Source organism: Homo sapiens, chromosome 4 (genome assembly GCF_000001405.40).
Source record: "Homo sapiens chromosome 4, GRCh38.p14 Primary Assembly".
NCBI lineage: Eukaryota > Metazoa > Chordata > Mammalia > Primates > Hominidae > Homo > Homo sapiens.
Genome location: NC_000004.12, coordinates 152,954,504 through 152,967,819, shown reverse-complemented (window position 1 = coordinate 152,967,819; position 13,316 = coordinate 152,954,504). Strand labels below are relative to the sequence as shown.

At 40.3% G+C, this 13,316-nt stretch overlaps 1 protein-coding gene across 6 annotated transcripts in view, besides 1 other annotated feature; it reads right to left on the bottom strand.

Annotated features, from left to right (window-relative positions):
- The window catches only part of FHDC1 (FH2 domain containing 1), a 68,333-nt gene that overhangs the window by 11,852 nt on the left and 43,165 nt on the right, over positions 1–13,316 (bottom strand). For all 6 annotated transcript variants that reach the window (XM_047416336.1, XM_011532389.2, NM_001371116.1 and 3 more), the window contains 5 exons: positions 7,170–7,255; positions 6,976–7,076; positions 4,936–5,006; positions 4,690–4,797; positions 2,845–2,915 (listed from right to left, as the gene is read on the bottom strand). In XM_047416336.1, coding sequence (XP_047272292.1) covers positions 2,845–2,915; positions 4,690–4,797; positions 4,936–5,006; positions 6,976–7,076; positions 7,170–7,255 — 437 coding nt within the window. The remainder of the gene's footprint in view (positions 1–2,844; positions 2,916–4,689; positions 4,798–4,935; positions 5,007–6,975; positions 7,077–7,169; positions 7,256–13,316) is intronic.
- Positions 10,590–11,409: an enhancer, noted in NCBI's record as "H3K4me1 hESC enhancer chr4:153877563-153878382 (GRCh37/hg19 assembly coordinates)". NCBI's record gives its function as "activates a minimal SCP1, AML or CMV promoter by ChIP-STARR-seq in naive H9 embryonic stem cells {active_cell/tissue: H9 hESC(naive)}" and the evidence as "EXISTENCE:reporter gene assay evidence [ECO:0000049][PMID:30033119]".

Sequence of the window (13,316 nt, the reverse complement as noted above, 5' to 3'; positions counted from 1 at the left end):
CCTGTTTTAAGAAGTGATTCGTTTCTAAAGACATATACTGGTTCAAAGAGAGCAGGTTGTAACTGTACTCTTGATGGTAAGATAAACAAAACCATGGGATCTGCAAACGTTTTCATAAACTAGCTCTGAACACCTTTATGCAATAAGCATTACAAACTAAATGCCAGCGGCTTCCGGGATTCATATGCTTTCCATGGGCCACTAAACACAAATAGGAAACTCTAACCCACAAGAAGCAAGGCAATATATGTTGATAATTCTAACACTAAGGGTAACAGTGAGAAAATAGCAGATTCCATGAAAATAGCAGATTCCACAGGTGGCCAGAGCAGGCTTTCTATATTTTACAGAGAACTAAAACATAGCTAACAAATGTGCAACTTTTTTTTTTTTGAGACACAATCTCCCTCTGTCACTCAGGCTGGATTGCAGTGGCCTGATCTTGGCTCACTGCAACCTCTGCCTCCTGGGTTCAAGCAATTCTCATGCCTCAGCCTCCAGAGTAGTTGGGATTATAGGCATGTGCCATCATGCCCAGCTTAATTTTTGTATTTTTAGTGGAGACGGGGTTTCGCCATGTTGGCCAGGCTGGTCTAGAACCCCTGAGCTCAAATGATCTGCCCACCTCAGCCTCCCAAAGTGCTAGGATTACAGGTGTGAGCCACCAGGCCCAGCTGATTTTTATTATTATTATTATTTAAAGAGACAGTCTCACTCTGTTGCCCAAGCTGAAGAGCAGTGGCAAGATCATGGCTCACTGCAGCACTGACCTCCTGGGCTCAGGTGATCCTCTCACCACAGCCTTCCAAGTAATTGGGATCACAGGTGTGCGCCACCACACCCAGCTAATTTTTAAATTTTTTGTAGAGACAGGGTCTTACTATGTTGCCCAGACTGGTCTCAAACTACTGGTCTCAAGCAGTCTTCCTGCCTTGGCCTCCCAAAGTGCTGGGATCACAGGCATGAGCCACCACAGCCAGCCCTAATTCTGCAAATTAACAGTTGGATTGATTGCAATGCTTTTGTTATATACATCAAATCAAGATAGGCAGAATGTGGGCCTGGCATGGTAGCTCAGGCCTGTAATCCCAGCACTTTGAGAGGGTGGGGCGGGCAGATCACCTAAGGTCAGAAGTTCGAGACCAGCCTGGCCAGTATGGTGAAACCCTGTCTCTACTAAAAATACAAAAAAATTAACTGGGCATGGTGGCGGGTGCCTGTAGTCCCAGCTACTTGGGAGGCCGATGCAGGAGAATCACTTGAACCCAGGAGGCAGAGATTACAATGAGCCAAGATTGCACCACTGAACTCCAGCCTGGGTGACACAGCGAGGCTCTATCTCAAAAAAAACAAAAGATAGGCAGAATGTGAATGATGGTTTTGTTACCCAGAAAACTGAGTAGGCGAAACCTAAAATGCATGTGAAATTCATAAATTAGGATGCATTCATGCTTCCATTGTCAATTCAAATGTTTCTTTGTGCAATAAAGTTTTCCACCTTCACTGGTCACCGGCACATATCTGAGACCTGTTTGTATTTCCCAAGTGTATTTCACCTTCCATTTCAAATAAACAAGCTTGCTGAATAGGATTTTTCTAAGACAATATCTAGCTCCAATCCAGCTCTGACCAGAAACGCCATTTCAAAAATATAATGCTAATTTCTATCTATATATCTCTTAGGAATATTTTTATACTAATTACAGTAAAAATGTTCCCACACAAATTTCTTTCAGTAAGTCAAAAGTTCCTATCTTATAAGATGTCCATTCTTTTTAGAGAACAATCTAGAGATCTGTAAACATGAATTATAAACTGTTTACACCTCTGAACTGATAATCCCACTTTGGGAAAGACATGTAATCTGTGGCTAGATATTCATAGAATCAGTAACTTTTGAGGTACAGGCCAGTGGCAGGGCTGTGAGCTATGGTTCATTTATTTATATGCATATGGTTCACAGATGTCATAGTTGGATACACTCAGTAAGTATATGCTAGGAACTGGCTTGACACATGAGCGGTGGCTGAACCTGCTCATGAGAACCAACTGTGGGTGTCTCTTCCTAATTTGCATTCAGTAATGTATGTCAGCAGCTTGACATCAGCCATGGTTACGGTATTTACAACACGGAAATCAGCAAATGCTACAAATCAGGACTTTTTTCTCCAACAGCTGGTTATTGAACATTTACCGTGGGATGTGTGGATGTAATATAAATTTTAAAACACATATACAAAAGTCAAAATAGTATATACACACAGAGTCTAGCTACATTAAGATACATATCTACATTAGGATCAGAAGCAAATTAGAGTGATGTAATTAGAGCCTTATGTTTGGCAGATACTTTCTCTGTATGTGCCTTTCTCTGTGAGTGACTAATTTAAAGTAAAATCATTTCACAGCTCTTGGTACGGTTACAAACTCTTTTAATGCAAAGGAAAATAAATGTACCATGTTAGATTCTACAAGGAAACAGTGAAATGTGGCCATGAAAGTTTGATTGATATATACCAACTCCCAAGGAAATAGGTGGTGCTGTTTAAGCTCTATCTCTTGGGCGTGGAGGGATTTGAAATTATTAATCCATATTTTTTATACTGATGATATTCATTAGAATAGACTGAAATAGTTTCTTTAGTTTACAAATAAAGATTAATTTTTCAAAACCCCCAAATTCCAAAGGTGCACACACACCTGTGTTAAGCAAATGAAGGACAGTCTGAAAGTTCAATGAAACAAAACCTTTTAGACTTCAAACTGGAATCTAAAAGTTTTAACTATTTATCAGTTTTCATAAAAAGGTAAAGAATCTTGAATTCTCACAATTCACTTGCTCACCTAGCAGTCTTCTGAACATGATGCAATTTTTCTGAAAAGTTTAGAAGAATGGTATCTTTCTTTTGGGCTTCCTGGAACAAAAACAGAATTTTATCTCACTATGTTGATAAAACTGGAAGGAAATAATTTTCTTAGGGCTTAAAGGAATCTTAAAATCACTGCTCCTGTTTTTAAACTTGACACATTCAAAGCATTTCACTGAGACATGAACTCTGATACTCTTAGTAAGATTTGCTAGAACTCTCCTACTCTCAAGATACATTTACCTTTCCAGAGCAATTGATCTTGACACAAAATACAATTAATGAGCATTTGGCTGCAGCTCAGCAGGGCCCCTTGTTTCTGAAAGAATCCAATATATCCTGCTTAAATACCACCCATACCTGTGAGCATGCCTTTAAATGAGCGAGATACCTTCAGCTGTTAAACCAGTTTGCAAACAGAGTTTAATCAGAAGGTACAGGAGCCATGGCAGTGTTTGGATTCTTCACCTGTTCAGGAGGTGAGAGGAAGGCAAGTGGGAAGGAAGCAATGACTGACCCAGGAGGCTTCGCCACATGGACAGAGACCAAGTTACCCAGAGGGCCTGGACACTTGGATTCAGGAGAGCTTTGCCCGAATACTATCCACGACCCTTGCTGGGCAAGGAACACATTTTCTTCTTTTAATGCCTGAAAATTAACCTTTCAATTAAGTCCCAAGCTAAACATGGCCCTTTGTCTTCTGAAGAATATAGTAATAATAGTGTGTATGGTTATTTATGGAGAGCTCACCATAGGCCAAACATTGAGATAAGCACTTTATGGAGTCAGCTCCTTCAGCACTCTCAATTACCTAGTTTTGGGGTAAGTTATCACTACTCTCACCATTAGATGAAGAAATTGAGGGTCTTCAGGTTTAAATAACTTGCCTGAGGAAGTAGAGCTAGCAAAGGACAGTCAAAATCTCCCAGTCCTGTCCTGTTCTGAAGCTCACATTCAAAACAAGACTGCACCACGGCTTCCTCCCCAGGTTAAAGCTACGACTACAGCACTGATGTCAAAACAACTGAGTGATTCAATGGAGGAAAAGCCAATCAGTTCCATTAGCTGAGATCATTTCAAAACAAAGATATAACTGTCCTTGATTTTCCACTTTGTTCCTCACTTTTTTGGTGTTATAGAGATCCAGTCAAAAAAAAAAAAAAAAAAAAAAAAAAAAAAAAAACAAAGCAATGGATAGGATCAGACTCCAAACCCTGTGCTAGCAGCATGGTGCTCAAATGCATGGTTCACGGAGAAAGACAGAAGTGACCTTTCTACACATAACTGGTCACAAATCTAGTCAATTCCACATCAGAAAATTTCAATCCTCCATCCTCTATTCTCTGTCCCTATGACCATTACCCTCCCCCTCAACGCTCACCAAACAATTACAGCCAACTTCTGCGGAGGTGTATTCCTATTTCTAGTTCTTTCTCTACTCTAACCCAGCCTCCACAGTGCCTTATTTGCCTAAAAACAAAAACAAAAGAGATCCAGTCAAGCTATTACACTGTGCACAAACTCCTGTTGGTTCCCCACTGCTAAAGCATGAAATCCAAATTCCCCACCTTTGACACTTAAATCCTTCATAGCTGGCTTCACCAGCCTCTCTGCTTCACTCTCCCACTTCCCTTCAGCCCTATAGCCCTGGGTGCAGTACAACTCAGGAATCTGCTAATGGCGCTTCTACAAACAGAACCATCTTGGAACTTGCCATGCCCTTTCCTAACCCTGCTGGACACCATCTTATGCCTGGGAAAAACTTCACTGCCTCCAAGGGGTATTCATATGCGTTCTCTAAGTCCTAATCATTTCCACATACCTGTGCAACAAAGTGCAGGAGATTCATCCCAGGTTTGTTTGCTTTTGTGTCTGCCAATTTGAGCAAAGAAGACAGTTTAAATCCTACTGCATTGCCGGCATACCCTCCCTAAAGAAGACAAATCAAAAAGAAAAAATTATGTATACATACACACACACACACACACACACACACACACACACACACACACCTTTAGATAGACAAGGTTGAAAACATAACATTACAATTGTTTTGGATTTTACTTACTGCATTCATGATATTCCCAGCCTGGAGCACCAAGTGTAATATTGAATGTAGCTCTTCACATGACATCAGTTCTATCAAAAAGAACACATCACAGCACCTTAGAGATGCCTTCAGTTTCAAATGCACAAAAGACAGCTACCACATCCAAGTTCAAGTGTATCTGAAGCAAACTGTGACCTTAAACTGTATATAAAACGGAAAAAACAAACAAAGCAATACATTCTATGGGATACCTAACACATCATTTGCTACCGGCAATCCGTGTCATAGTGTTTACTTGGAAATCAAATAGGTATGATAGTTAAATAGCACAAAATAGTTCAATAATAAAAATTTTCAATTAGTGAAAAATGCAAAAGCCTAATGCAAAGCAGTATCCCGTGAGATAGGAGTTAACTTCCTTCTCAGCAGTTATTTAATTTTTCCTTGTATATCCACTACTCTTTGAGTATGCAGTCTCAAAGAGACCGCATTTATGGAATATGAAAACTAACAGCAAGCAACGTTTTGCTTAGTCAATGAGTTATGAAGAGATAAAAAATAAACAAGCTGGGAGAACATGTAAATAACTTGCAAAGCACAAACCGCGAGGGCCCAGGCATCCAGGGAATCTTTTCATTTTATTCAAAGCCACACATTTCATTTGGATTGGCTGAAAGTTTTAGAAAGAAACTTATCATTGTAATATATTGGTAAACTAGTTCTTTATTAACACCAAATCCTTTGTACACCCATGCAAAGAAACAAAATTTAAAATTTTTAATACATTTAGAAAGGTAAAAAGAAAACTTATTAAAATTATACTATCAAATAATAAAATGTCACTGACATTTTTAAGTTAATATTCTCCATTAAGTCTGGTAATACTTTCAAAAAATTACAGTTGGATCACTGCCTATATTGTGTTATCTAAGAAGGCCAGTTTTGGAAGGATGACCAGATAAGAAATGTTTCTACCATGCCCACAAGTTTGCATTGCTCAATATAAAAACACATTCTTCCAGAACAAACCTTCCAAAGTCGCTGCAATAGTGTGTATGGAAAAAAAGTTTAAAGGCCTCTATGTTGAAATTTTTAAAAATCTTTTTCCTTCTTAGTCTCCTCTCTAAAATGAAGAAAATACGATGGACCAAAGAGAAAAATTTTATCTCAAAACAGGCCAGAGCAAGTAAACAGGAAAACCAAATAGGAATAAACAATTCTAAAACAATAACTAGAAATCCAGAAAATGACCAAAAGGAAATCAGGCTGGCACTGACGCATGCTGAAAAGTGTGAAGGTCAGGGAGGGCCAGAGAATATGGCCCCGAGCTGAAAAGAAGCCAGCTGCAACTCCGCCGGGATTCTCAGTGCCAAGATGCCAGAAACCAAAGCTCCCACCCCTCCGGAAGGAGACGGCAGGGCAGCTCTGAGAAGAGGCTATCCAAGCTGGGCAGGCAAGAATTTAAAGAGTTTTTCAAATAAATGAAAATGGCCTATCTGCCCCTCTCAAATTTAAATAGCTCAGCAGAAATTGGAGTATGGAGGAGTGGGAGACGACACCACAGAACAGAAACGTCAGGAACCCTGGCAGAAGAGTCACACGGTTGACCCCAGGAAAAGAGGTCTGCTTCTGGAAAGGCTGGGTCCCAGCCACCAAGAGGCCACGACAGGGAGGAGAGAGGCAGCTGGGCCAGGGGCCCGGGCTTTGTGTACGTGCACAGCCCACACCACACATGCACACACCACATACCAACATACACAGAGAAAGCTCATCCAGGAGAGAAACAAGAGCAAGCCGTAACCAGCAAGGTTGACTCTGAAGCCTGAGATGAAAGAAATTCCCTTCTGTGGGAGGGTAATATGTAAATTAACATTCATTACAGGGGAAAAATGTCAATGGAAATCAACCTTAAGTGCATCCCTAGTAACATCTCATTTCCCTTTTAAGGGTATATCAGAAATTCAGGACTTTCCATGTCCAATTTCATTTGGCTTTTTTAAAAAACTGCTATCGAAATTAATAAAAACAAATTCTGCGAAGGATCATATGTTGACTCACCTTTTATAGCAGTTCTTAAAACTGTTATATCTGTATATAGAGAAGAGCAAGAAGGTAGAAATTCCTTCTTTAGCACCATGGCTTCAATCCGAAGTGAATAGCTGAAAAATAAAAAAGTAAAACTGTAGAATTTGATGTCATTAGTTTAAAAATCTTACTGCGTGAAGAATAATAACCAGCGACTGTATCCTTACTTTGGCACCTGAATTAAGCCATACAGAAAGGAATCTGCCAGAGACAGCTTCGACACGTCGCCACTAAACGCTTTTAACTTCTTTACCTAAAAGACAAATGGAAAGGGGGGGTATATAAAATCACTTACGAATACAATTTAAGATTATTTAAATTTCATCTTCCAATTCTTCTAAAAAAATAGGATTTTAGTGCTAAATTCAAATTAATTTAGAAAAGACAAAAAAGGAAATCCTCCCATCTGCTATTTGGTTTTTTTAAAAGAAAAATACAAACTCACAAATTTGAAAGCAAAGAGCTAGCGTCACTTATGTAGCTATAGATACACAGTCTCGTGTAAACTGGAGAGCTGGAGCCAGCAGAATCCTCAGGAAGGTTACAAAAGGGAGGGACTAAAAAGGAATCAGTTCTAAGGATGAAAATTTTCTGTAAGCAATAATCTGGAAATGAGATCATTGGGAGAAGAAATAAAAGACTGTAGAGTCATTATAATATGGTTCTTTAAGTCATAAACGGAAAAAAATCTTATTTTGAGTATTTTGTATATAAAATACTTAGACTGAGTAAGATCTAACACAGATTTTCTTTCAGTGGTCAAATCCCACTTCACATACAATAGCTTTAAAGGAAGAGTCTATTGTGTCTTCAGGTGAGTACGCATCTGCTCTTCAGCAGGAAGACAAATAGGAAAATTGCTTAAACAACGGGACGTTAAGATTGCCCCCAGGGACCCTGGCAGAAGAGTTGTACTGTGGATGCCTGGAAAGGAGGTCAGCTTCTGGAAAAGCGGGGTTCCAGCCTGAAAAGACTAGGCAATAAAATAGTATGTACACTAGGATGTACATACTATATGTACATCTATTTCTATAAATTTTTTTAAAAGGTATCTATTAACCTCCAATCCTCCCATGCACACACCTACATACACAGGAAAAAGATGAAAAAGCCCCACATCTCCAGGTAGTGACTCATGCCTGTAATCTCAGCTTTTTGGGAGGCCAAGGCAGAAGGATCACTTGAGGCCAGGAGTTCAAGACTAGCCTGGGCAACATAGGGAAGCCCCTCCCCCAAAAAGCCCCACATACACTAGGTGATAGGATTACAGTTGTCTGCTATTTTCTTCTGTTGCTCATTTTTATTTTCTAAGATATCTACAATGAACATGATCACTCTTTAAAAAATAAACTAAACTAAGTTTTTAAACACACAAACAATTATTCCTTCACCCGTAATACAGGAAAAAGAGAAGAGTTCTGACAACAGGTATATAGCCAAAAAGCAAATAGGTGAGAGTGGAGATGAAAGGAAAGTTTTCAAACAACATTAGATCACAAATCATGCCTTCCCCACACAGAACACTGGGCCATTCCCATGGCAAAACCACTTCTAAGTCCACTGTTTAAATAGAGAGTCATCCAACAAAATTCTTTATGGTAAGTAGTACCTTAATACTATTAGTGAAGTGTACAGCCTATCTTTGCAGCTAACTGTTGCCAGTAAGTAGCTAACACTTCATATTATTCTTTATAAAGCTTATTATCTTCCACTCCCTTGGTTATGATTAATAACGTGATTTTAAGTTCCTTGCAAAATAGGAAATGACAGTTCAAAAATATAAAGAAAGGAGTATTTGCAAAGATCCACAAAGTGAAACATCTACCTCAATTATTTGAAAATATAAAATGTAACACTTCGAGTTCACACCCTAGTATTAAGTCTGACTCTTAAGACTATTTTCTTCTTTTAGGACAGAAAATAGCCATTTATATAATTGCATTTCCCTTACTGGTAGAGCCTCAAAGTGAATTGACCATTTTTAGCCTTATTAAATTTAAGGGCACATGGCACTTCTGGTTTAGCTAAGCCCAAATCAGTCCCTGGCTTCTGTGCTGAGAAACCTACACGATGAATTCTAATCCCTTCTGAGCTAGAGTTGAACAATTCACTATATATGGGCAGGGGCAGAGGGAAGTTGTATAAGACCATATATGTAGCATGTGTGAAACCTCTGAAAATCACAGCATGGTTTTCAGTCTAAAGTGTAAGAACAGGTCATGCTAAGTAAACTCGGTAAATGTTTCTATTAAACATGTGCTAAACTGTAACTGAACAATGATTAATCTCCTTCACTTATGTAAAAAGCTAAAAAAAATGTATGGATTTCAAGAGAAGGGTGATGGAAAGACCGTATTTAATTTAAATGCCATGTATACAGTTCTTTGTTCAATTTCAAGATGAGATTTATGTTCTTTAAGAGGGATTATTGTATCTTCACAGCGGCAGGGAAGTAAAAAAGAAAGGTGAACAGACCCTATAATTATTATGCATTCTCATTACCAAAAAAAACATTGATTAAACATGGTTAGGCATAACTTTGTGGGCTGAGCCAAGAGACACTCATTATGGCCCTGGTTGTGCCTGGTTGCTGTCCTAACAGTGAGAGCAGGCTCCTTGAGACTCTCACACTCCAAAGGGCACACCTCCTTCATCCTATCTAATTCCAGTCACATGGCTTGAAATGGCAGGATTTCCCACAAACACACCCACCCAACAGAAGACCCATGGGCTTCCTGTCATTCCCTTCCCAGCAGCAGAGTCAACCAAGAAGGTGGGAAAGAGATACTACAAATGTCCAGCAGAGGCAACTCAAACTGCTTCAGGAGAACAGAAAGTTTCTACCACGTCTAGCACCAGCCCACAACAGAGGAAGGGCTGGTCAGGCGTGGTGGGGGTGTTCCCTGGCTTGGGAACTCCGTGCTGGACAAGAACACACTCCCAGAGTTTCATTTCTGGGCCCACCTTCTTCCTCTGCAAGTGTGAACCTCTATTAGAGGAAAGATGAACAAACATGCCAGATAAAAGATTTGTGGTAGAGGGCAGAGAAATTCTCAACAACGAATTAACCTTGGCTTTGGTCGGCTTGTCAGCTGAGAAGGCAGGAGAGAAAAGGGCTGTTTCCGTTTATATCTTTCAGCATGCTGATAAGATTACAGTATTATTCAAGTGACACTTATTCACACCAGTACTTTGTGATAGCAGAGGTGATGAAAAGGCTGGCAGGCCAGCAGCGCGAGGCGGGGTTTTGACAACCTTTGCCCTTCCTTCCTCCAAGGCAGGCAGTGGAGTGCAGCAGAACCACACTGGGCTCAGCGGAATCAGGGCTCAAGTCCACCCCGCTGCTGTATCACTCAGCAATCATGTGACACCAGACAAGGTATAACTAACCTGTGTGAGCCTCAGTTTCTCATTTGTAAAACAAGGAGTGTCTTAAAACATTGCTGCAAGGATTAAATGAAAAATACACAAAAGAATCATAGCTATGATTGATTTTTTTATGTGCCAGGCACTAGGCTCAGTCACTTCATTCTGCCCTGTCCAGTCAGTGCCTGGTACATGGGGGCACTCAATAAAGGTTTAGTCCTTACTTGTGCTAAAAATGAGCACAGAGCGTTACACATAGGCTGAGAGCCACGTGGTAATGTGTCCACTTACGAATTTATTAGCATATTTCTGCCACATTCCTAAACCTCTCTTATTTGGCCCTGTCTCCTCCTTGGCCTCTTCCGCATCCTCCAACCTCCATCCAGAGACCCAAAGACTCCAGGGTTGGCCCTGGGTCTGACTGGTGCCAGGGGACACAAAAAAGTTTGTCCTTACAGTGGGCAGCAGTCAGGGAGCGGCTTCGGCTTTCCCCGAGACCCCCTCCCACAGCACAGATACCCGGGAGGGTTTAGGAAGGGGCTCCTGCCGGCTCTGGGGACTGTCAGGGTGTTCCTGCTGAAGGAAACTCCCAGTTGAGTTTGGAGGGTGTGGTGAGCTGAAGCTCAGAGTCAGTAATGTAAACAAGGAGGCGAAGTGTGACCAAGCACGCCAGATATTCAGACTGAGGATGACCCCGCAGCAGGAGGTTGTGGGGAGAAACAGCTGCTGCCTGGTTCAGTGGCTGGGAAGGCACTTCAGGGTCCCAGGCCAATACTTTCATTTCAGCAGGACCCCATCTCCCGGGTTAGCTAACTGGGGGTGACAGAGTCTCGGGGATTCAAGGCAGTGCCTGGATGGGTTTTCATCACTTTGCCCTCAACAGTCTTCCTTTTGAATTATACCCCCACACAACCCAAAAATACAAAGTTCTTTTAAATATGAGGTTTGACAGCTTACTTGCTTCTTTGAAAAATCCCTTTGCATTTTCTAATCACCTTTGAATTTTAAATGAGAAATGAAGATATTAAGAAAATTGTATTCAGTTTCCCACCTCACCACTGCATGAAGCTGAGCTGGCAGCCTCCCTTGTGCCTAACTTTGATTTAGTTAGCAATTTAAAGCTTTTCAGAGCACTTTCACATGCGCTGTCAAATCTGATCCTCACTTAACAACACGATGAGGTCAATTAGGAGTGGGTATAGAGAGGTCCTAAAGGAGGCCTGAAAACAGCCCAAGCAGGAATAAGGTTTCAAGAGCAAGTACATCATTTTAAAACTCAAATTAATTAAAAACTATCTATCCTAACAAAGATTTTGGAACTCCTATCCTTTACAGAAAAGATTAAGGACTGTTCAGTATGTACAATCCAGGGTAAATTATGATTTAATGTGCCCTTCCTTTAAGACTTCAAGACTCTACTACTAACATTAATAACTGCTGCTAATTAATCTTGGCTTGGGTTAATTACACTTAATGTGCAAAGAGAAAACCTGAGGGAGAGAGAGCGGCCAGGTTGATAGGAACACCTAGATATAACTAGATCTCCTGACACTAAAGTAAAGCTACATACATTATGTCTGGGAAGAAGAGTGGGAAAGGGGAGGGAGAAGTCAGAAGTGCCTGTGAAAAGGATAACATATTAAAAAGTCACCCTTACTTTTTACTTATAAAGTTGGCCAGGTGCAGTGGCTCATGCCTGTAATCCCAGCACTTTGGGAGGCCAAGGCGGGTGAATAACTTGATGTCAAGAGTTCAAGACCAGCCTGAACAACATGGTGAAATCCCATCTCTAACAAAAGTTAGGCGGGGCGTGGTGGCATGCACCTGTAATCCCAGCTACTTGGGAAGCTGAGGCAGGAGAATCGCTTGAATCCGGGAGGTGGAGGTTGCAGCGAGCTGAGATCACTGCACTCCAGCCTGGGCGACAGAGCAAGACTGTCTCAAAAAAAGAAAGTCATCTATTACTTTTACTTATAAAGTAAAAAACTTTGTAAGAATCTATATTATTTAGGTATCTATAAGCATAGGTATTTGTGTAATTTCTTACTGAAATTTTTCAAGGAATTTTTTCCTTAGAAATAAAGGACAATATCAAAATTTTGGAAGGTTTTATACAACTGTTTTTCTGGGTTTTTTTTCTATCAAGCTCCTAACCATTCAACAATGCAGTTAACTCATTCAGTCCAAGCAAAATAAATAACTTTATATCATGGTAGTATGTATTACTATCACAACAATTTCCACCTTTGAGTTAATTATGTAGACAAGATTTTATTAACAGTTTACCTACCTCCCCAAAATTTTAGAGCATCTTTATTCAAAAATGATTGTTTTCATCTTTTTTTTTAAAAAAAGTATATGGATTATAAAATAACCTGGGTTTATACTATGCAAAGGTCATGTTTAGATGATAGAAAAGGAATCCTGTTCTTTGGATGATGAGAATTTATTGAGCTCCCACGTGCCAAGTGCCATGTTAGATGCATTAACTAGGATTTCATCATCTTGACAATCCAATGAGGTCAGCATCATTATCCTCCCTTTACAGGTGAGGAAACTAAAGTTCACAGGAGTTAAGAACCTTGCCCCATTTTCTCAGTTAAGGGAATAGCTCAAATCTGAATCTAGATTCTCTGACTCCATAATCCATGCTTTTTCTACCAGGTCACTTTTTACTTTTATGTGAGAAAACTCTGGCTCTGGGTAGGAGAGTGCCCTTCCCATGTGAGCATGTGAGCTTTTTTTCTTTCTTTCTTTTTTTTTTAGAGACAGATTCTCACTCTGTTGCCCAGGCTGAAGTGCAGTGACATGATCTTGGCTCACTGCAAACTCCGCCTTCCTGGTTCAGGCAATTGTCATACCCCAGCCTCCTGAGTAGCTGGGATTACAGGTGCCTGCCACCACACCGGGCTAATTTTTGCATTTTTGGCAGAGACAGAGTTCCATCA